Source organism: Homo sapiens, chromosome 11, assembly GCF_000001405.40.
Source record: "Homo sapiens chromosome 11, GRCh38.p14 Primary Assembly".
In the NCBI taxonomy this organism is placed as follows: Eukaryota; Metazoa; Chordata; class Mammalia; order Primates; family Hominidae; genus Homo; species Homo sapiens.
The window spans coordinates 124,936,828-124,961,287 of NC_000011.10; the positions used below are offsets into that span (position 1 = coordinate 124,936,828).

A 24,460-nucleotide genomic window follows, 5' to 3' on the forward strand; every position below is an offset into this window, starting at 1 on the left:
CACTCTAGCTCTACTCTGACCCCCATTCATGTGTTCACACCTTTTCATGAGGGCGGCCAAGGGAATGGATGCCTAGTAACTGTGATCTTGGGATGGGCTCGCAACCTCTTTGAGCCTTCAATTTCTCATCTGTAAAATGGGGAAAAGAAGAGCTTCCTTGAGGGGAATTGTTGGGAGCGTTGATGGAGATTTGGTACAGAAGAGTACCTAGCAAATCCTTTGTTACAGAGATGATGTTTTAAACTTTTTAAAAATTGCCTTGTTTCTTTTTTCATTCATGCTGGGATCTTTATATTTTTGGGAGACCAAACTTCACAACTTCCTTCTTGGTCATCCCTAACCCCTGGTCTTGGTTTTGTAAGTGCAGCAATTATCTCTCTAAATATTCTTTTTACATACTGGAGAAAGCCTGAGTAGGTCAACTTTCTAGAACTGAAGCATTATTACATAGCCCTTCTGAGCCTCGGCAGAGGGAGAAGAGTTGGGAAGCACTGAACTTCACAGACCTCTCTGAAAACATTCTGAAATATATAAAGGGGATTCTTTTTTCCTTTTGCATTTCTGTGTTTATGACTTTTCCCTAGACAACTCAAGGCACCTTTCTTCCACTGGAAGAGGTAATGTTATTATAGCAGGTACACAAAAAGAGTCAATATTCAGCTTCTGACATTTAAAATAGCATTTCAAAGTCCATAGCAAGATGAAAGGCTTAGCCAGTCTTTGTAAGGGACAAAAGAGCATTCTAATTTCTTTTATCTACCCCTTGACATATCATAGATCAGCCTGTGGACTGGATCACAGAGTCCTTCTGGAGTGTAGATAAATGGCCTCTTTGCCTGTGATGGCTGGGCCTTGAGGCTTATGGATGGGAGTAAAAGGAGGATGCAGTGTTTGGGAAATAGAAAGCCCGAAGTCTGCCCTTGTTATCCTGAAGCACTGTGGAAAGAAAAATGTGCTAGAGGGAGACTAAAAGGATCTAAGTTCTCAATATCCCCACTTCCCCGCCCCAGAGGTGGCTCTTTATACCTGCACAGAATTTGCAAGGGCTTCTAGGTGTCCAGAAGCCCTTTAGGAGACTCAGAAGTGCCGAGAGGGTAAAGAACTGGCAGGAAACAGAAGATTGAGCAAAGGCACTGCCATGTACGGGGATTCTGAGGCCAGAGGCAACAGCTGGGACCACCTACTGCTGTGGTGGGAGCCTCAGGTAGCTCATCAGGCCAGGAAAAAATGTAGACCCTGAGTAGAGACTGGTGGGAAACCTGAGAATACCACACAGGTCCACAGACACTGTCTCCCCCTGTTGCCACAAGGTTACTTCAGCCACACCATGTATATTTACCCCAACTCTTATTAGAGAGGAGCTGGGATTGGGAGAGGACATTGGAAAGACTGCTTGAGCAATTGCCTGAGCTGTCCAAGCAGAGACTGAGCTACCTAAAGACAGTGTGAAAATGGTTGGATCAGACTGGGCTTACTGAGATGGAGTGATATTTTCCTCTGCTACCCTGGGGGCGGTGAGAGGTTCATGTGGAAGATCACAGCAACTACAAAGACATAAAGGCCTTCCCTTTCCTTTGTACGTTGGAATGTATGAGGAGTAATTTTGCAATCTTGCTTCCAGCGACTGAGTAGGCCTTTAGAAACTTATAATCATCTACTTATGTGCCTTTCTCTCCTAAGAAACAGAGAGCTCTTTGATTTAAGAGCTGTCTTATTTGTCTCTCTGTCTATAGTACCGAATACGGGGCAGGCACATAGTAGGTGCTCAATAGGCAGTTGGCAAATATTGAATGGATAAGCCCTTGCCTTAGTTCCTTTAGAGGGCTTCTCAAGCAGCTGGACAACTGGGGGTTGGGGGAGCAAGCAAGGGAGTGAGGCCACAGTTTGTGGACACATATGAGGCATCCCTTGGGAATTCCCAGAAATAACCGGGGCTCACTTTGAGTGGGGACACTGATCCAATAGGCAATTGATTTACAGAAAGATAAAGTAACAGCCTCACACATGACACAAAGTGTTTATCTCAGCTGTCTTGGCTCGCCTTATGTTATCCTTCCTTGTGTTCTTTGAGTTTTTTCCTCTGGGTGTGTCTGTCTCATGATTGTTGATGATGCTGGCTTTTTTTTTTTTAAGGGATATTCCGACTATTAATGTTACATTTCTTTAATGTCAAAAATATATTTATATTTGTTAGTCCGCATGTCCAATTTTTGGATCAGAAAGTGTGGTTATTGCGGCCATTTCCTCATGAGCCTGCAAGCCTCTCTGGAGCAGGGAACGTAATTCTTCATTCCTCTGGATCTCCCCATGGGGCCCAATTCTGAGCTCTGCATAATGAGGCTGCTCCAACAATGGTGTCGACATGAACTGCTTGACTGATGGCAGTCATCCCTTGCTCAGCCAAGGCCCACCACCCTGCCTTCTCTGAGCACTCTGACAGATTCATTTCCGAGGGCACTGTCCTCTTCGGAGCAGCATAGCCCAGTTCTCTTGGCCCCTTCACTGCACACAGTTACTTCAGAATACTCCTTATTTGGAAACCCCTCTGGGGCTCTGGAATCTGGACTCCTATCCCCTGCAACAGTGGCAGCCCTGGCTGCTGGTACTCACAACTCTGCACTGAGCACCCAGACAGAGCTCCTGCAGCTCAGGATGGAGCGCCTCAACACACATGCATCCACCAGCAGAAACTCAGAAGTATCTGTCTCTAGAATGGGAGGAAGGAGGAAGGTAGTGATTTTAACCGAATCACCATTCGATGCAAACCTCTGTGAGAGCTGGCCAAAACAACAAATAAACAAACAAAAAAGGAGGCTAAGAAGTTGTAAAACTGAACTCTGTCTTCCAAGAACTGAAGGTCTTGTAACAGTCACAGAGCAGTGGACTCACTGTGCAGCAAGAGACACTTATGATAACCTTTGTCTCACTTCTCCATTTTTTCAGATGAGGAAACCAAGGAGTAGTGGGGTTAAGTAATTTGCCCAAAGGTAAATGGCTATCTACTGATGGACCCTGGACTCCCGATGTTACTTAAAAGCAAATGGACAAGCAAAAATCATTTAAAAAATTAAATTACTTAATAGTAAAGGCAAGAAAAAATAACACACATGAATGACATGTGAATAAGTACCATTTTAAATAATTCTACTATTAGAAGTAAGAGTGTCCCCACCCACCTGGCCTGTTCCTCTGTCTCCAGGGAATAATGATAATACTATAAGAGAGGTTTAGAAATCGCCCTTACTAATAATATCCCATCAGTGGTGATTTTTATGTTTAGCATGCCTCCTCCTCCCCTCCATTCACTACCTGTTATTAATTGAGCCATATCCATCTCCTCCACTAAATTGTGAATCATTGTTGGTAGCAGAATGAGAAAAAGCCTTCCAACCAATGGCACCAAAATTCCTGTGAGTGAGGGAATTTTCTTTAGCAAGAAAGATATCTTGATATGCTACATGAAGTAGAAGGTAAGACCTTGAGCATTAAGAGTCAAGGAACAAAAAGATAAATTGCTCCTCGTTAGAAATAAACAGGAATTTGGGGGCAAGGAAAGTGCAAAGTGGAGAGAGATGAAGACAGGAAGAGGGGATGGTGGGGAATTGAAGAAAATTTAAGAGCAGCTTGCATTGTTACACTGTATACCTCCCCTCCTTTGTCTTCTTCAAAACTTCAACTTGAAGAAAACTTCTTCAAAATTTTACTACACTCAAATGCAGTATGTGTGTGTGCTTCTAGCCAATAAAATATGGCAAAGGTGATGGGATAGGCACTCTCTTGATTAGGTTACAATATGGAAGACACAGACCAGAGAGAGATTGTCTAGTGTACCACCATGGCATGAGAGGCCCCTGTGGCAAGGAACTGCTGGCCTCCTCCAGGAGTTGAGAGCAACTGTCAGTCAACAGCTAGCAAAGAAAAAAAAAAAAAAAAAGAAAAAGGAACCTCAGTGCTACAACCACAAGGAACTGAATTCTTCCAACAACCATATGAGTTTGGAAGAGGACCCCCCCAGGCTCCAGAAAGGAACTTGGACAGCTGATACCTTAATTGAAGTCTGGTGCGAGACCCTGAGCAGCAGATCTATCTAAGCTGTGCGTGAACTCCTGACCCAAAGAAACTGTAAGAAAATAAATGTATGCTGCCAGGCATGGTGGCTCATGCCTGTAATCCCAGCACTTTGGGAGGCTGAGGCAGGCAGATGGCTGGAGTTGGAGACCAGCCTGGGTAACATGGCAAAACTCCGTCTCCACAAAAAAATACAAAAAATTAGCTGGGCATGATGGTATGTACCTGTAGTCCCAGTGACTCTGGAGGCTGAGGTGAGAGGATCCTTTGAGCCCAGGAGGTTGAGGCTCCAGTGAGCTGAGATTGTACCATTGCACTCCAGCCTGGGTGACACAGCCAGCATCTGTCTCAAATAATAATAAAACATGTATGCTGTTTTAAGCTGCTAAATGTGCAGTATGTGTTATGTAGCATAGAAAATGAATACAATTAGCATGTGTGCATTTATACTGACACAGAGGACTGAGTTCCAGGTTTGGTACAACACGGTATGGAAAAAGGACGGCATATGTAGAACTGTGAAATGAGCTCTAAACTGACTAATTCAGCTGAAGCAGGAGTATGGAGTCAGGGATGATCCTGAAAACCTAGGCCTTCAAAAATTTGAAGAAATATTGGTATCTTAGTTTGGGTTTCCTCAGAGGCAGATCCTAAGTTAACAAGTCAAATAGTTTATCCAAAAGGTAATTACAGCCAAACCAGGCAGTATATTGGGGGAATGAAACTGGAAGGAAAGGAAGCCAGTAAAGGCTGCATATGAAGCAAATCACTATTGTGGGCAGCTAGAGCTTATTCCTCTTGGGAGCCCTAGGTGGTAGTAAAGAATATGCCTCCTAGGGGATAGGGAGCTGGGGTATTTATCCACCAACTGCCATCAGATATGAGCTAAGGGGCTGCTTCTGAGGGGTAAGGAGATATTAATTTCTGAGGCTTCTTACCTCCCTCTTCTAACTGCTCTCTCTCTCTATATATATATGTGTGCGTGTGAGAGAGAGAGAAAGAGAGAAAGTGCTACTCTGCATTTGACTGTGTCAACCACTATATATATAGATATTTGCTTATTTATTTCTTCCAACCCCATCTTACAAACAAGAAAACAAACTTCTGAGAGGTCAGCAGCTTGTTGAAGTCATATAGCTGTTAAGTGACAAAATTTGGATTGGATCCCAGACAGATCACCAAAAAAGCTTAGGGTTTGACCAACCCCTAATGCACCAGTAGGAATTCCTCCTCCTGGTATAAGCTTTTACCCTCCAGGACCTACTCCCTGACTAAGCTCTGGATATGAAGCAGCCCTCTCTCCCCACTCCTTGGGCCTTCTAGTATTGGTGAAGGTATTTTCTTTCTTTCTTTCTTTCTTTCTTTCTTTCTTTTTTTTTTTTTTTTTTTGAGATGGAGTCTCACTCTGTCACCCAGGTTGGAGGGTTTCACCATCTTGGCCAGGCTGGTCTTGAACTCCTGACCTCGTGATCCACCCACCTCGGCCTCCCAAACTGCTGGGATTACAGGTATGAGCCACTGTGCCTGGCCTAGTGATGAAGTTATTTTCATTTTTATTTTTTGTTGTATAAATCTATATGCAAATGGTACTGGTGTTGTCTCTACCATAAGTTTGATTTCTCCTAATGGACAGAGGACGCAGGAGGCAAACACCAGCCAGAGAATTTGTAGAGCTGCAGCACATTGCCTGGGAAACAACGAGATTGTATGAGGCTTTGTGTTGAGAGGAGGCAGGGCCCAGCTCCTACAGCAAGCTCTGAATAAGAGACAGATTAGCTAGCTCCCTTCGGAACAAAACAAGCTTTCTGTATGCCTGGACAGTGAGGAATGGCCCTCCCCAAGAACATTTTCTTTTCTATTCGTTCTCTTTCTAAAGTTCTCCTAGGTGGCCCTACTCTGGGGGCCTCAGAAAAACATCAAATAGAAAGTAGAAATGGAGTCAAAAGGCTCCTTCATCCTGAAATTGGTTTTGCTGGCTGCAGATTTCTGTAAACATGAAGAGTTACTCAGATGAAAAGGGTTCTGCAGAGATATGGTGTCTCCACAAGATGTGGAGTTTGTTGGGAGAAATACATGATCCTGGGAGTGGCATGGGGTCCTGGGTAAATTTTGGAAGGGCAGCAAGGAGGGGCTCCCATTTCTCTGCTGAAAACAGGAGAACATCAAAGTCTTTTATACTGAGAGTAAATATTTGATTTTTGAATAGAATTCCGGCCTCCTCAGAAAGTGAGAGGGACTCAGGCTTGTGTCCATGGTTGCTAAACGTGCTCTATTCAGCCACTCTCCAGAGGAACAAAGAGGAGAAATTAATTGGTATTAAAGGGCTGGAAAGATCCAGCTTTTGCTGACCTATTTAAGATGCAGCAAGGACATTCTGGAGAATATCTCTGGAGTTCTGTTCTTGTAAAGCTTCAGTGCTTAAATACAAACAGGTTGAAAAATCATGGGGAAGCCACAAATTACACCCCAACTCATGAAAGCCTTCACTGTTTCCCTTCTCCTAGATCCTCAGATGGTGTCCACCCACCAACCGTGTCAGGGGAAGGATTCGCTGCCCTCTGCCGTCGTTCACCCTCCTACCAAAGAGGGAGGCTCAGAAATGGGAATCAGCTGGCCAGCATCTGATAATTGCCTACTGTGTGAAGAACACTCTATGTTCCAAACATTAATAAAAGTGGTGGGATGTGGAAGAGGAGGAAGGCGGCACATTCAAAAGTAATAGACGACACCATCCCTGGATCCCTGTCTAGGAGCTGAAATATATTATAGCTGGGAAGGCTGCACCTACATCTATAAGCAAGTATAATTGATAAAACATTTGCATTGCCCTTTACAAATTATCTTTTAGAATATTATTTTATTTAGCCTTCTAACAACGCTGTGCAGTGGGATTTTTTTTTCCATTTTTCAAGGAGGATCATGAAGCTTAGAGAGGTTAAATAACCTGCTCCAAGTCACACATTTTACAAGTTGGCACAGCCTAGACTCAACTGTGCTTCCTGTCTAATGTTCATAATGCTGTACCCCTGAAAGAGGTTTCCTTCACATTTGCAAGTTGGCACAGCTTAGACTCAGCTGTGCTTCCTGTCTAGTGTTCATAATGCTGTACCCCTGAAAGAGGTTGCCTTCAGCCAGGCCCAGAAGTAAAAACTAAGTAGGAAAAGGAGAGTTCTGAGACAAGATGTGAGAAAAGGGATCAGGCAGGTGACAGGACCATAAAAAAAAAAAAAAGCTTAGTAAGCAAGGGAAACTGGGCCCCCACAGGTTAGGCCAGGGACACTAAGAAGATAGATTTGTGATACACAGGATTCAATATGGGGAGGGACCACATTTCTTAAAAGGAGGCCCTAGCTAAGTTGTCAGCAGAGGTGTCTTGAAGACAGCCCCCAATTTTCCCCTTGTTGCAGTACTTACAGGATTTGGCTTTGTCTAGTTTAAAGATCCATGCCAAAGTCAGGCCTCCAAGATTCTGCATCTGGTTTGTGGCCCGACAAACTAAGGAATGTGATTTGTCAAGATCATTTGATTGTAAGTGACTGAAGTTCAACTGGAACTATCTGAAGCAAAAAGGGAAGAATTTCTTGCATTATGTAACAAAATTTTTCAGGGAGCAGGAATAATTGGAAATAAGACAGTATTTTATATCTGTGCTGTCAAATATAGTAGCCATTAATTAGCCCCGTGTGGCTAGTGGGACTGAGGAAATACATTATAAATTTCATTTAATTGTAATTAAACTTAACACATGTATCTAGTGGTTAACATATTGGACAGTGCAGCTTGTCATGCGGGCAGGAGAAGAAGACTCTTGATGGAACTAGTTAAAAAATAATCTTGGCAAAAGGCCATGGCTTAGGTCACATGCACAGCTCTGGATCAATCACTGTAGCAAGGAGACTAGAACACTATCCCAGGCTGGGCCATGTACTTAACCCCACAGTCACAGGTGGGGCCATTACTAGAAAAAGCGGGAGAAGGGATGCTGGGAAGACAAATCAAAATCTTCTAAGGTTTTATGACTCTATCTTGCTTCCTAAAAAAAAGTTAGCAAGCATTTACTGAAAGTCTATTATGCATGATATATTTTACATATGTAACATTACTTCTCACAAAACACAAACAAACCCTCAAGGGTCAATTGTTATTACATATGTTACATATCTAGAAATAAAGACTTGGATAATGTGACTTGACCACAGATAGTAAATTGCAGAACTGGAACATAAACCCAAGTTTAGCTCTAAAACCCCTTTCTCCACTGTAATATGCTATCCCCAAAGATTTGGGATATAGAGAATGTGACTATTAATAGTAGATAATTTAAATAATCATAGCTGAACACACACAAATGAATAACTTGGCTTTCTCCAAATAGTTATCTAGAAAGCCTTACTGCTTTTTTTAAAATAAAATCTATTTCCATTTATTTTTATTGTGGTAAAATATATAAAATATACAGTTTATCATTTTAACTTTTTAAGGTGTCCATTTCAGTGGGATTTACTACATTCACGTTGCTGTGCAGCCATGACACTCTCTTCTCCAGAACTTTTTCCTCTTATTTTCTTTTTTAAGGCCTCATGTCTTACACCTTTTAAGGGTTACATTTTTTAAATTCCTTTTTAAAAGTTGCTTTTAGAGCCTGCAACATATTTTTTAAGTATCTTTAATGATTACAATTTTTATACTTCAAGAGATTTTTTTTTAAAATCAAGCATAGAGTGAATAATATAAGTAACAAGGATAGATAAAATAATTTTGGCTAAAACTAGCTTTAAAGTAAAAGTCTCGCCTGACCAACATGGCGAAACCCTGACTCTACTAAATACAAAAAATTAGCTGGGTGTGGTGGTACATGCCTGTAATCCCAGCTACTCGGGAGGCTGAGGTGGAAGAATCTCTTGAACCTGGGAGGCAGAGGTTGCAGTGAGCCGAGATCGCATCACTGCACTCCAGCCTGTGCGACAGAGTGAGAATTTGTCTCAAAAAAAAAGGAAAAGTCTCCTACCTTAGTCAAGCTTCTTTGGCTTCAAAGAATAGATATCCCAGTGAAGTACCATCAACCATCAGAGGAGAGGCATATTGCAGGAATACATAAGACCTGGATCTGGAATTGAAGGGCTCAGTTTTGAGGCCGCTCCAGGAACCAATTTTTGTAGGTAGCTCTGACTCATTCTGCTCGTCTCTTTTAGTCTCTAATATTTACCAATGGACTTATCTCAGAGCTTGTCTATGGTCTACGTTACAAATAATATAAAACCTAATGTAAATTGGCATTAATAATAAAGAACTTTATTGGCTTATGTATTTGGAAAGACTAGAGATGGGGTAGCATTGAGATAATTCAGAGGCTCAACAGTGTCAACAGGGAACAGAAAGAAGGACTTATTTATTTATTTATTTATTTCTAAGATAGAGTCTCGCTCTGTCGTGGAGGGAGTAGACAGCCAAAAAGCCCTTCCTTGGAAGATCTGGATAGTGCATCTCTCAACTTCCTAGATGAATACTTGGTAATGTAGAGAGATGCTGAAATCCCTGTTAATTTTCTTTTAATCACACACCAAGAGTAAGGAGAAAAAGACTTCTGCATCCATGGTAAAACTAGAGAATCTTTTGCAATAAGTAGTACAGCAGATGCTATTGAGAAAACTGGGCTTAACTGCAGCAATCTGCTATTGGTGCCATTTACAGTGAAATGCTACTGCAGAAACCTGGTCTGCACAGGCAAGCAGAAGGACTCTCTAGTTATCCTAGTTAGAAAGGTTATTTTGAGAGGTGGATAAGGAGGAGGAAGAAAAAGGACAGTGCTATGGTCCATTTTCAGGAAATAGCCCAGAATATCAGTTAGCCTTGGAACACCCTGCTGAAACTTGGGAGACAGGCTGAAAGTGGCCATGACTCAGCTGCCTGAGGCTTCATTCCCCAAAATCCAGTTCCCCTGAGAGTAGAGATAGGCAGGTTTCTCACTTCTATAGATGTTCTCCTTAGGCTATGCCCTGAGAACTGACATGTGACCAAGTTTTCTAATTTGTTACAGGTGTGGGTCAGCCAGCAACAAATAGGAAAGTAGTGACCAAAAATGCAAATTGCTCCCTCATGCTCATGAAACAATCAGTTCTGTGTGGGGTGGACTGCTGCCAAGGACCCAGTGACTCGGGGCTTTGTGCAGACATGTCCAGGGATCCCCCAGACACAGAAAAGGGATTATATCCAACTCCGATGAGGAGTGCTCTGGAGCAGGGCCTCAACACTTTGGTGCCAGCAATATCCATTCTTTTAAGTTCCTGAAGAAGGTAGACATTTCTAAGCAAACAGTTTCCTTGCTGAGAAACCAACTCTGGTTATATAGAATATAAGCATTCCTGAAGAGGTCAGAAAATGGGAACAGGGCCTTAGATGTGAATTCTCTGGACATATCAAGAATGTAGATTATTGGCTGGGTGTGGTGGCTCACAGTTGTAATCCCAGCACTTTGGGAGGCTGAGGCAGGCAGATGACCTGAGGTCAGGAGTTCAAGACCAGCCTGGCCAACATGGTGAAACCCCATCTCTACTGAAAATACAAAAATTAGCTGGGCATGGTGGCAGATGCCTGTAATCCCAGCTACTGGAGAGGCTGAGGCAGGAGAATCGCTTGAACTCGGGAGGTGGAGGTTGCAGTGAGCCAAGATTGCACCACTGCACTCCAGCCTGGGTGACAGAGCAAGACTCTGTCTCAAAAAAAAAAAAAGAATGTAGATTATTATGAAACCACTGGCCCAGGTGCTAGTGGGAGGCACAGACCTTGAGGTGGTGGGTTGAAGAAAGCAAGGAGATACCTAACAACACTTCTTCCCAAGTGTTGGTGTGTGAGTATGTGTCTGTGTATGGAGGTGTGCAATTCAACCTCTCTGTTGCCTTCTCAAGTATTAGGTTGGTGCAAAAGTAATTGGGGTTTTGGTACCAGCCACTGCAAAAACATACCAAATTGTAAAGACCATGAACACTGTGAAGAAACTGCATCAACTAATGGGCAAAATAACCAGCTAGCGTCATAATTTGACAGGATCAAATTCACACATACAATACTAACCTTAAATATAAATGGGCTAAATGCCCCCACTGAAAGATACAGACTGGCAAATTGGATAAAGAGTCAAGACCCATCAGTGTGCTGTACTCAGGAGACCCATCTCATGTACAAAGACACACATAGGCTCAAAATAAAGGAATAGGGGAATATTTACCAAGCAAATGGAAAGCAAAAAAAAAGCAGGAGTTGCAATCCTAGTCTCTGATAAAACAGACTTTAAACCAACAAAGATCAAAAGAGACAAAGAAGAGTATTACATAATGGTAAAGGGATCAATACACCAAAAAGAGCTAAATATCCTAAATATATATGCACCCAATACAGGAGCACCCAGATTCATAAAGCAAGTTCTTAGAGACCTACAAAGAGACTTAGACTCCCACACAATAATAGTGGGAGACTGTAACACTCCATTGTCAATATCAGACAGATCAACGAGACAGAAAATTAACAAGGATATTCAGGACTTGAACTCAGCTCTGGATCAAGCACACCTAACAAACATCTACAGAACTCTCCACCCCAAATCAACAGAATATACATTCTTCTCAGCACCACATCGCACTTATTCTAAAATTGACCACATAATTGGAAGCAAAACACTCCTCAGCAAATGCAAAAGAACGGAAATCATAACAGTCTTTCAGACCATGGTACAATCAAATTAGAACTCAGGATTAAGAAATTCACTCAAAACCGCACTACATGGAAACTGAACAACCTGCTCCTGAATGACTACTGGGTAAATAATGAAATTAAGACATTAATAAATAAGTTATTTGAAACCAATGAGAACAAAGACACAATGTACCAGAATCTCTGGGACACAGCTAAAGCCGTGTTTAGAGGGAAATTTATAGCACTTAAATGCCCACAGGAGAAAGTGGGAAAGATGTAAAATTGACACCCTAACATCACAATGAAAAGAGCTACAGAAGCAAGAGCAAATAGCAGAAAACAAGAAATAACTAAGATAAGAGCAGAACTGAAGGAGATAGAGACAGGAAAAACTCTTCAAAAAATCAAGGAATCCAGGAGCTGGTTTTTTGCAAAGATTAACAAAAAAGATAGACTGATGACAGGTTGATGGGTGCAGCAAACCACTATGGCACATGTATACCTATGTAACAAACCTGCATGTTCTGCATGCGTATCCCAGAACTTAAAGTATAATAAAAAAAAAAGTAATTGTGGTTTTGGACCATGAATTTTAAGTGATTATAACTAGGCTCAGATATATTTTTATTAATCAAAATAGGAACCATTACAATCAACACCTTTTTGCCAATGAGAAATAAGTTCGTTTATTCCTGTAGTGTAAGAAGCTGTGCTTCCAGATTCGCCAAACTCTTAAAAAGTATTTTCTGCATCCTGCTGGTTGTAGAAGTGTTTTCTCTGCAAAAAGTTGTTGAGATGCTTGAAGAAGTGGTAGTTGGTTGGCCACAGGTCAGATGAATATGGTGGATGAGGCAAAACTTCATAGATCAATTTGTTCAACTTTTGAAGGGTTGGTTGTGCGACATGCAGTCGGGCATTGTAGTTGCTGTGGAGAAGAATTGGGTCCTTTCTGTTGACCACTGTCAGCTGCAGGTGTTGCACTTTTCAGTGCCTCATTGATTTGCTAAGCATACTTCTCAGATGTAATGGTTTCACTGGGATTCGGAAAGCCGTAGTGGATCAGACTGGCAGCAGACCACCAAACGGTGACCATGACCTGTTTTTGGTGCTTTGGGAAGTGCTGTGGAGCTTCTTCTGGGCCCAACCATTGAGCTGGTCATTGCCAGCTGTTGTATAAAATCTACTTTTCATAGCACATCTCAATCCAATCGAGAAATGGTTCATTGTTGTGTAGAACAAGAGAAGACAACACTTCAAAACGATATATTTTTTTTATTTTCAGTTGGCTCATGAGGCATCCACTTATCGAGCTTTTTTACCTTTCCAATTTGCTTCAAATGCTGAGTGACGATAGAATGGTCAACATTGAGTTCTTAGGCAACTTCTCATGTAGCTATAAGAGGATCAGCTTCAATGATTGCTCTCAATTGGTCATTGTCAACTTCCCATGGCCGGTCACTATGCTCATCATCTTCAAGGCTCTCAGCTCCTTTGCAAAACTTTCTTTCTTTCTTTCTTTCTTTTTAAATTGAGACGGAGTCTTGTTCTGTCACTGGAGTGCAGTGGCACAATCTCAGCTCACTGCAACCTCTGCCTCCTGGGTTCAAGCGCTTCTCCCACCTCAGCCTCCCGAGTAGCTGGGATTACAGGTGCATGCCACCATGCCCAGCTAATTTTTTTATTTTTAGTAGAGATGGGGTTTCACCATGTTGGCCTGGCTGGCCTCGAACTCCTGACTTCAAGTGATCCGGATGCCTTGGCCTCCCAAAGTGCTGGGATTATAGGTGTGAGCTGCTGCGCCTGGCCATCCTTTGCAAAACTTCTTGAACCACCACTGCACTGTACGTTCATTAGCAGTTCCTGGGCCAAATGCACTCTTGATGTTGCAAGTTGTCTCTGCTGCTTTGCAGCCCATTTTGAACTCGAATAAGAAAACTGCTTGCATTTGTTTTTTGTCTAACATAATTTCCATAGTCTAAAATAAACATAAACAGCAAGAAGTCATTAGCAAAAAAATAAAAGTGAGAAATGCCCATTAAACTGATGTATAACATAACCACATTTATTCAAGCATGTATTCCAACATCAAATGGCAAATTCCAACAATGAAAAACCACAATAACTTTTGCACTCACCTAATAGTAGCTGTTTTCTGTTCCTTGCCCCTCTGGGTGGAGGTGGGATGGGTTTCCTTCTTGCTATTCAGTTACTCAGTGCTTTTGCTAAACCACATCCTCCCTTTTTCTTAACCTCACCTCCAACTTTGAACCTCATGTCACCAGAATATACCATGCTTGGGTTTCCAAGCTATACTTACCCACCAACCTCCAAGCCTTTTCAAGATTGTTGCTTCTGGCTTTCTCCAACATCATTCTTGTTATATTTTTTGGTGATTTCAGTATCCTCATGGATCATCCAATCAATGCTCTGGTGTTTGGTTTCTATGACCTCTTCTCCAGTGATCTTGTTCTTTAACCCACCTTAGCTTTCCCTCCTTTGGTCATACCATAGACTTTGACAGCACCAATAACCACAACCTCTGCATACACTCAGCTCCAAGCAGCCTACTCTCAGACCACCTCTTATCTTAGCACATTCTTTTGAGTATCCTGTTCTAACAAACTTTAGACCACCACAGGAACCTACAACTTCTTGACTCTACCAACTTTTCATAGTCCCTTACCTCCTACTTCTCTCATTGTATAACAAATGACCCTCAAATTTAGCATCTTAATACAACAAACATTATCTCACACAGTTTCTCGTTGGGCGGTCTGGCTCAGGGTCTCTTATGAGGTTGCAGTCAATTGTTGGCTGAGTACAGTCTCTGAAGACTTGATTAGGGCTGGAGGGTCTACTTCCAAGTTCTTTCACAGGGCAGCTGGCAGAATGTTTCAGTTTCTTGCCATGTGATCCTCTTTATAGAACTGCTAATGATGTACATGGCTTCCCTCAGAACAAGAGATCTGAGAGGGAGGGAGGGAGGGAAGGAGGGAGGGAGAGAGAGTGAGCGAGCCCATGTGAGCATATCTCTTATAACCTAACCTCTGTAGTAATATACCATCCCTTCTGCCATATTCTGTTGGTCATACAGTCCAACCTAGGTACAATGTGGGAGGGGACTACACAAAGGTGTGAACACCAAGAGGTGGGGATCATTAGGGGCCATCTTGGAGGTTGGCTACAATACTATTTTACAGAGAAAACAGAGTAATCAGAAGAGAATTTCCATAAGCTCCTGCCACCACATTACCTAATTATCAGTTTACTGTGTATTCTAACTTTTCTGCTATTATTATAATTAACCATACCTCCTGCTATCTAAGGCCAATCCCTCCACTTGTTCACTAAATTCCATTTCCTCTATGAGGTTTGCACAAAGACAAAATCACCTAACATTTATCAAAATGTATCCCCATCTTTAAGTGACACATGACTGTAGATCCCTAAATTCTCCCATATCTCTCCCGCATCATTAGTTTTCTCCTGTCTATTGGTTAATTTCCATCAATAACAAATATATGCTATGATCTTAAAGAACTCTCCAATGATCCTACCTCTACGTTCAGCCACCTCTTTCGCTGTGTCCCTTCACAACAAAATTCATGGAAAGAATTGTCTAAAATTGCTGTCTCCAATTCCTTCTCCTACTCTTTCTTGCCTAGCCCATCAGGCTTTTGCTCTCCAACTACTCTAAAGACACTGCTCTTTTAAAAGTTATCAATCACTTCCACATGGTCAAATCCAATAGTCAATTTTCAGTCCTTACCTTATTTGATCTGTCAGTAGGATTTAACACAGATTGTCTGCCCTCAATGGAACATTTCTTTTTCACCTGGCTTTCAAGGTATCACACCCTCATAGTTTTCTTCCTTGGTTTACTGATTAATCCTTCTCAATCTCTTAGCATTCTCCTCCTCTTTTTCTCAGCCTCTGTAATACTGACATACCCTGGGGCTGTTTTAGGATTTATTCTTTTATCTGTCTATATTCAACCCCTTGATGACTCCATCCAGTCTCATGGCTTTAAATCTACAGGCTAACGACTCTTAGATTTATATTTGTAGCCCAGAACCCTTCTCTGAGCTCCAGACACTTTTTCTCATACTATCTTCTCGGATGTTGATTAGATAAAACTTTATCTGCCCCAAACTGAACTCCTGATCTTCCCCTTTCCAAATCTACTCCTTCCACCATCTTCACTATCTCAGTAAATAGTAATTTCATCCTGACAGCTGCTCAGGATGAAACCCCTAGTTTTCCTTGACATCTCTCCCTCACACAATCCATATCCAAACCTTCAACAGATCCTGAAAGTTTTGCCTCCCAAATAGATACAGAATCCAACCACTTATCATCATCTCCACCACTACCTCCTTGATCCAAGACATCACAATCCCTTAACTGAATTATTGCAATAGCCACCTAATTGGTCTTCTTTACAGTCTATTCTCACTACAGCATTCGGAATTATTATTTTTTTAATTTTGTCACATTATGGTGTTCCTTTGCTCCAAACCTTGCTCCAGTGGCTCCCCATCTCAACACCTATGGTGGCTTACGATGTTTGATCGGATTGCCTGCTTGACCTACTGTCTCAGCATTCTTCCACTCTCCCTCTGCTCCAGTCACACTATCCTCCTGACTTTTTCTCAACCAGGCAATGCTTCCACCTTGGGGCGTTTATACTTGCTGTTATATCTGGAACATGTTTATAAAGCCTCCGTTGAAGAGCACAGTGGCTTCTTCCATTAACTCATTTAAGTCTTTGCTGAAAAGTATCTCAGTGCAGCTTCTCTGGACGTTCTAATATTTCATCCCTCCAATCCCCACCCTGCCCACCACACTCCCTATCCGCTTTCTTTGCTTTTACTCCACATCACACACATTTACTTACTCATTGTTTATTCGCTTATTTCCCCTCACTCTATTGTGAATTCCCTGAGCAGGGATATTTGTTTCGTTCATAGCTATGTATCTCCGGTGCTTGGAACAGTACTGGTTTATAAAAAGTTAGTAGTAATGTATGTTAATCGAATGAATAAATTATCCTACAGAGATAATTGAGTGTCTCTGGATTACAGCAGAGCTTGCAGCAGAGAGGGAGACCACTCAACAGGCCGTGATGTCCAAATATAATAAGATGTATGAAACAGTACTGTAAAATTAGCTGCACAAAGGATCCGAAAAATTTGTTAGCTTAGTTTGTTTCTCCAGGAAGCCGTGCCAGGCTCGCCTCCCTCTTTCATTCTTTTCCCGTGATTCCCTCTACTGGGACTCCTGACCCTCCTAGTCGCCAGATCACAGGCCCAACGCATCCCTTTCCGGAGGGATTTAGGAAGTCTCGGCGTTGGTCCAGGAACGACAGTCCCACCGCGCCTCACATGGCGCATTACCCAGCGACTCCGCTTACCCACACGTCCCCGCCCCCTCAGCCGGACAGGAAGAGGAAATGACGATACCTCGGGCGCTCGAAACTCCACCTCTCACGCCTTCCCAGCTCCGGGAGGGGACGCGGGCTCCGGAAAGGGCGGGCATAAGGCTACGGATGGGCGGGACGGAGCAGCCCACCGCAAAGTGGCGGTCTACTTGAGGCGGTTACCTTAGTACTCCGAGTAGACTGAGTCTGTGGCGAGCTGCGGGCCGATTCCTGGCCAGTGCCATCTCAGCCGGAGCAGGCCTCGGGGCCTCAGAAGCAGGCTTTTATCTGGCCCGAGGCTCCCAGCCGTTCAGCGCGTCTTCCCATAACCTATACCGATTATTGGGACTCTCGGCTGCAGACACAGGTCCCCGCCCCTCCCTCTTTCTCCGGGTTGCAGCTGTCATTCCTCCCTTCCCGCCTCGCTGCGCCCACAGCTGAGGACAGTCTTCGTTCTCTCATTCCCATCCTTTCTCTTCCCTCTCATCGCCATTTCTTCTAGAAGGCAACTTAAAAACCTTTCTTTGCCTCTTTATTTCTTCCCATTTCTCTTCCCTTCTTTTCTTCCTTTTTCTCTAGAATCCGTGTGTTTCCACTTCATGCCAGGCTTCTGCCTCCAGGGCTTCTCTCCTTTTCACGGGCCTGTGGCTCATGTGTTAGGAGGTTGAACTTTTAATGCAGTCATTTGAAGATTTTAAGCTTTTTCTTTCTCCTAATCAGGAGTCACAGATGCTGGGAAGTATGGCCCGAAAGAAACCTCGAAATACCTCAAGGTTGCCCCTGGCTTTAAACCCCCTGAAGAGCAAGGACGTGTTGGCAGTGCTGGCTGAGAGGAACGAGGCTATAGTACCAGTTGGGGCATGGGTGGAACCTGCCTCACCAGGTAGTTCGGAAATCCCAGCATATGTGAGTGTCAGTTTGATCCAAATATGGTGGGGTTCCCCACCACCCTTTTTATTAGCCTTCTCTAATCCTGGGTGCTTAAAGATGAACAGTCCGAGGATGCTGTTTCTATTCTGCCATAAATAGTTTATGCTCTTGCATTAGGATTATAGAACAAGTATTTGCCAAAACTTGACTGCAGCTTTAGTTGGCATAATCAAATATTTATTACTCACCTACTATAATATATAGAGCATAATCTACATGGAACAGGTTATATAGATATATATCTGTATATCAGTTTACTTCAGACTCTTGATTGCTTGTTATGCCCAAGACATAAGCACTATCTACATCTTCCAGACACTGCAACTTAGTATGGATGATAGTTGGCATACTTCAAGTAACATTAATTGGTTGCTTAAGGTTTATGATAAATTTTGTAATGAGGATTCAGGCAAAATGGAGTAATAGAATAAAGGAGAAAGAGATGAACTCTGATAATCTGAGAAAGTCTAACTAGAAATTCCATGGTTTCTGATAGTCTTTCACCAAACTGTGCCCCTTAGCTATTTGTTCAAATTTAACTTGGCACTTACCACATTGTGTTATAGTAGATTGTTTATATATCTTTTCCTGATGCAGTGTGAGCTCCTTGAGCGTAGAGAACAAATGTCATTTATCATCACATTCCCACTTTTATCTTAAATACTGCCTAATCAATATAGACACTCATGAAGTATTTATGAAAGGCACAAAATGTCTTCTGTATGTGTAGACAAGGTGCTGAACATGGATGAAAAAAGGATGAGATATGTTCCCTCAGTGTACTTGATCTCAGAAGAGAAATGAGATGTGTTTAAATGTTAAAGTAATGCAATATACTATATTCATTTTATTTATGTTTGCACATATGTATGTATATTCATTGATTTATTCCTACCCTGCCTATTTCCAAAAAGGATTTTAAGAGTCTAGGTGGTATCTCTATCTAAGTTCTAAGAATATAATGCTCAATCAAGAAGCTATGACGTTGGGTTGATGTGACCCAGGAAAGTGTAATGAAGAATTTGATCGGAGAAGGGAAGGGAATGATTCTCCTATTAAGGAGAATGAGGAGAGTAAGAAGTAAGCAAGGTTCAGGATTCTAAGGGTAGATTAGATCGATTGGAGTGGAAAGCTTAGTAGGAGAATGGTTGCTGACAGGATTATGGAAAATAGGGATGGTAGAGTACCTTAGGAAATTTTGGAGAAGGGATTGACTTTGTTTAATATTTACAGGTGAATGTCATGATCAACCAGTGTTTTCTTTAGATGAATTGCTTCAAAGGTTTTGAAGGATAGGGAGTGATTGGATCCTGGGGATAAATTAGAATATAATTATAATAATTTAAGCATGGAGTATAGCATCGAAACTTTGTTAGTGGTAAGAAATAGAGAAGAACAGCCTTGAAAAAGGATGATTGAAGTGCTTGAGCCCACGAATTGTAGGCTGCAGTGAACTATGATCATACTACTGCACTCTAGCCTGGGCAATAGAGTGAGACCCCATCTCTGGAAAAAAAAAAGGAGTGGAATGAGAAGGGATGAATGCAGGAAACACCCCACAAGACTTGGTAAGATTTGGTATAAAGATATTTTGGTATTTAAGTTGTTGACACCTCTTTGTAATTGCTCAAATTACATCTGTATAATATCAGTAGTGTCAACATGCCTAAAATTTGACACCATCAAACTTTTTCTATGTTAAGAAGTATTGACTATCGTATTCACACACATTAACTCAAAATATTAAAGTCTTGGAACATGGATAAACATATCTCCTTTTCCTGATTTAAAAATTTCTGATCAGTTCCAGCCAAAGGGAGTTTGATCAAGCATCTAATAGAACTCCTTATAGCTTTAGCATATCTAGTCTGGGTATCCACCCTTATTAACGGATATAGCTCTGTCAGCTCAAAATAAATGCTGAATAGTTACTTCTAAAGCTTGGCCCTTAGATCATGTCTGTTCTAAAGGGGAACTTCTACTCATTTTTCTCCCCAAAATTTCAGGGGGCCATCAGGATTCCTAAAAATGTCATAGCTTTAGACTACCTCCCCCCAATAATTATTAATAAATTAGCATCAAAAGACACTGCTGTTCTATCATCATATATGGGATTGCATTATTTTATAATTTGTTCTGGTTACCTTTTGCTGTGTAACCAACCACCCCAGAACTTAGTGGTATAAAGCAAATAATACTATGTAACAGGAATTTGAGCAGGGTACAGTGGTAATGGCTTGTTTCTGCCCCATAGTGTCTGGGACCTCAGCTGGGGCTCAAATAACTGGACATGTCTGAGACACCTTGACTATTTTCCGGCTATTGGCTGGAGCTAGACAATAGTCAAGTTCTCCCAGTAATGTGGCACCTGCTGGGCTGTAATGTCCAAGATGGCTTTCTTATTCACATATCTGACGCTTGGCCTAGGATGACTAGAATGTCTGGGTGCTGGTTAGATATGTTTCTCTTTTCACATGGCTTCTCTGTTTGACTAACTTGGGCTTCCTCACAGCATGGTAATCTCAGGGTAGTCTGAATTTTTATATGGTGCTGACTTCCTTCAGAATGAGCACTCTAAGAACAGAGGTGGAAGTTTCTTTATGACCTGGCTTGTAATCTTGTGGAGTAAAAGAGGAGCAGAGAAAATGGAGGTAAAAGAAAGAGGCCGAATGGCTTAAACTTGTCTGGGGCTTGAGTTAAGCTGGGTCAGTTGTTCAGGCTTCATTACGTATATATCTCTCCGTTGGAATTATTTTACCTAATTGTTCTTTGACACTTGTACACTCCACTAGAGTAGTTTATGGGATAGACATCTTGGAAATTTTAACTTAAATTGAAATTTGAATGCATTTGATTTTGAGAATTTAATGACAGCCTGTAAAATGATCTGAGGTACCCTTCAGAATTAGAAGTTGGAATCACTGAGTTAGAAGGAATAGGTACGAGATATGATGATGATTTTATTTAATTTGAAAATTCCTAGTGAAAGAGAGACATAGTCAAGAGAAAAGCAGTGTAGAGAGGAACATAATTGTTGGAGTCAGAAACTTCTAATTCTGCTACTAGTTAGCTATATTAAAATTACTTAATCTTTCTGAACTCCAGCTTCCTCATCTGTAACATAAGGGATAAGAATACCTACTGCCAAAGGTGGTTTTGAGGATAGAGTGCTACAAAGTAGTTAAAATACTTGTCACCTGATAGATCCATAATAATGATAAGTGCTGTTATGATGATGACTATGATTATTATTCAAAGCACTTAGAGGAGATAAATGCAGATCAAGAACTCAAATGGGATAAAGTGTTCCAGATTGTTCAGAACAAGCTTGTCCAACATGCGGCCATGGGCCACATGTGGCCCAGGATGGCTTTGAATGCGACCCAATGTAAATTAATAAATTTTCTTAATTAACACTATGAGTTTTTTTGTGATTTTTTTTTTTCTCATCAGCTACTAGTGTTAATGTATTTTATGTGACAGTTCTTCCAACATGGCCCAGGGAAGCCAAAATATTGGACACCCCTGGTTTAGAATATGTTTTGGAATTGAGCAATTATATAAATATATATTGACTACCCTTATAGTGAAGGCTCTGTACTAGATGCCGTAGGGGAAATAAAGGAGAATTGAATACATATCCTGTCCTCAAAGAGTTCATAATCTAGTAGGGGAGTCAAGAAGTACTATACTCAGTTAACATTGGTGAAATGAGAGGTGTTATAGCATAAGAGGGCTTAGAGAGAGAGTGTTGTGGAAGGTACTGGGGAGTGGGTATTAAATGGTTGTGAAAACTGAATAGGCCTTTACTAGGTGGAGATGAAAGGAAGGGCATGCCAGGTTAAAAATGGAGCATAATGCCAAATATGAAGACATTTTAACAATAGGACATATTTGGTGAGTGGTAAGTAACCTGGTGTGTCTTGACTATTTACTCCATTTTAGAAAATGTGTAACGTGTTAGGTTTTATTTGGTTCATTAAGATTTAATGAAGACATCGTTAGTTCTAATTCAATAAAAAATTTAAGATTTGATACTCATACATTCCATTTTTTTTTGTACAGAATGGAATTATTTTTTTCAGGATTGTATCCTTATCCTGACTGTTTTGTGTTTAAAACAGCCCTAATGGACAAAACTGCTAACATTTAAGTTCATTTTCTGTCTTTCATCTTTAAAGACATCAGCATATTTAATTGAAGAAGAACTAAAGGAACAGCTAAGAAAAAAACAAGAAGCTTTGAAACATTTTCAGAAACAAGTTAAATACCGAGTAAATCAACAAATTAGGTTGAGAAAAAAGCAACAGCTTCAGAAGTCTTATGAAAGAGTAAGTTCAAAAGTGAGCCTGAGTAAAGATTGAATGGAAAATATGTGTGTTATGAGATAAGCTATTAGGCAGTAACAGAATTGCTTTCCTTTGATTACATGCCTAATATAATCTAATTAACTAGTGAAGACAGTAAATTTTTTTTGTAGAGAAACCATGTTTTATTCCTGTGTTCTGACTCAATTTTTTGCTTTTACCAAGTAGTTAAAAGCAATGTCAGAATTTTGGGTTCAGACTTGAGTTTGAATTTTGGCTTTGCTACTTCTAGCTATTGACTTTTGGCTAATTACTTAACTTCACTGATTGTAGTTTCTTCATCCATAAAATAAGGATATGATACTTCTCTCATAGGATTGTGTGAGAGTTAGATGAGATAACCTAAATTATTAGCACATGGGAGGTGCCTGGTAAATGTTAGTTTCTCTGCCAGCTAAAGCCTCTCCCCTGCCCCCCACCCCAATTTAAAATCTTCTGAACTGCTTTAGAGGCATTATTTGATTGCTCTGGATTGGGGTAGAATGTTACTATCCCCCTTTCTTCTTTCGTGTAGGCACAAAAAGAAGGCTCCATAGCCATGCAGTCTTCAGCAACACACTTAACTTCCAAAAGGACAAGTGTTTTTCCAAACAATTTGAATGTTGCTATTGGAAGTTCTAGGTTACCTCCTTCCCTGATGCCTGGGGATGGAATAGAGGATGAAGAGAATCAGAACGAATTATTCCAACAACAAGCCCAGGCTGTAAGTACCTGTTCTTTTTATTTTATGTCTATGATATTTTCCCTATCCCCTAAACTATAAATATGACATCTAGGGTATGAGGTAGGGATTAAGAGTTATCACACTCAGCTTCACTTTTGATAATCATCCCCCTTTTTTTTTTTTTTTAGCTTTGTAAAGTGGGGAATAGTGGGATAATGCTTTTTAAAAATTTTAAATTTAAATTCATTTGTGTTTGGTAAGATACTCTAAAATTATCTAAAGAAAAGTGCCGCGGAGCCTGCAGTGAGCCGAGATTGCGCCACTGCACTCCAGCCTGGGCGACAGCGAGACTCCGTCTCAAAAAAAAAAAAAAAAAAAAAAAAAAAAAAGAAAAGTGCCAAAGTGCTAGAATTCAAAACCTATTAGAAAGCACTTTAGGTCAAGAACATGGATTTTCCAAGTTATATTGAAATTATATTCTAGGCAAGCTACTATTAGTTTGTAATTTACAGAGAGAAATAATTCTTACCTTCGTTGCAAAGAAGTTCAGTATACATAGGTGGCATTTCATTTATTATTTATCTTTGTCTCATTTTTCTTATTTTTGTTTTTTAATCTGATTATCACAATAAATGAATCTATAGTTGTAGGTTAAAGAATAATACATAGTAAATTCGTAACATATCCAGAGTTTTTGGAAAAATGTAATTTTTATTTAATGACTCATTTTATATACCTAATATTTAAAAATTAACCACTGTGAGTAGATTTCATCCATTCACATTGCTTGACTCTGTCCATTTAGCCCCCACCTTAGTATACCTGAGCTTTTGTCCAGTTGATACAGTCTTCAACTCTGCTTCAGTAATTGTTCTTCATCTTATTTAAAATGTATTACTAGAAATAATGAGAGGAAGAGAGAAAATATGGAAAATTATGAGTATGTGAAAATAAAAGCTGTATTACTGCTTAACATACTTGGTCAAAATTTAATTGTGCTATTAGTATAAATAGGAAAAGTTTAGAAGCACACATTATCATGTTGAACTACTATTAAAATTTTTTTCTTTGTCCACAACTATTTGACTCTTTCTTGTCATTGTTCAGTTTGTAATAATCATTTTTATTTGTTTAGCAAATATTTATTGAGCCAGGCACTGCATAAAGTACAAGGAATAGAACATTGACTTAAGACAGACACAGTCCTTGCTTTCGTGGTGCTTGTAGCTGTTAGTCCCACTGTAGTGAGGATTTTACTTCATCTGTTTAATACAAAAATAGAACTCATCAGTCAGCAGTATTTGCCTATGCTGTTTGTTATGG

At 40.9% G+C, this 24,460-nt stretch overlaps 1 protein-coding gene and 2 long non-coding RNA genes across 16 annotated transcripts in view, besides 1 other annotated feature; 2 read left to right on the forward strand and 1 right to left on the reverse strand.

Annotated features, from left to right (window-relative positions):
- The window catches only part of LOC107984406 (uncharacterized), a 51,792-nt gene extending 45,029 nt beyond the window's left edge, over positions 1 to 6,763 (forward strand). Inside the window, exon 2 of the long non-coding RNA XR_001748429.3 lies at positions 6,573 to 6,763. This is a non-coding gene — a long non-coding RNA (uncharacterized LOC107984406). The remainder of the gene's footprint in view (positions 1 to 6,572) is intronic.
- On the reverse strand, positions 12,365 to 17,164 carry CCDC15-DT (CCDC15 divergent transcript). 3 transcript variants are annotated; one of them, XR_948134.3, is made up of 3 exons: positions 16,655 to 17,164; positions 14,512 to 14,723; positions 12,365 to 13,732 (listed from the first exon to the last, which is right to left on the reverse strand). It is a non-coding gene; the product is annotated as a CCDC15 divergent transcript (long non-coding RNA). The 3 variants fall into 3 exon arrangements; XR_948133.3 differs by having other exon boundaries at positions 14,075 to 14,723; XR_948132.3 differs by having other exon boundaries at positions 13,893 to 14,723.
- Positions 17,035 to 17,578: an enhancer, noted in NCBI's record as "H3K27ac hESC enhancer chr11:124823758-124824301 (GRCh37/hg19 assembly coordinates)". NCBI's record gives its function as "activates a minimal SCP1, AML or CMV promoter by ChIP-STARR-seq in primed H9 embryonic stem cells {active_cell/tissue: H9 hESC(primed)}" and the evidence as "EXISTENCE:reporter gene assay evidence [ECO:0000049][PMID:30033119]".
- CCDC15 (coiled-coil domain containing 15) overlaps positions 17,375 to 24,460 on the forward strand; it is an 87,288-nt gene continuing 80,202 nt past the window's right edge. For 8 of the 12 annotated variants that reach the window (NM_025004.3, XM_017018346.2, XM_017018348.2 and 5 more), the window contains exons 1-4: positions 17,375 to 17,543; positions 17,897 to 18,082; positions 22,288 to 22,437; positions 22,988 to 23,176. In NM_025004.3, the coding sequence (NP_079280.2) occupies positions 17,906 to 18,082; positions 22,288 to 22,437; positions 22,988 to 23,176 (516 nt within the window). In that variant the 5' untranslated portion in view covers positions 17,375 to 17,543; positions 17,897 to 17,905. Of the gene's footprint in view, positions 17,544 to 17,896; positions 19,675 to 22,287; positions 22,438 to 22,987; positions 23,177 to 24,460 lie in introns of those variants that run through there. The other 4 variants (XM_047427628.1, XM_047427630.1, XM_017018352.2 and 1 more) reach the window with 3 other exon arrangements.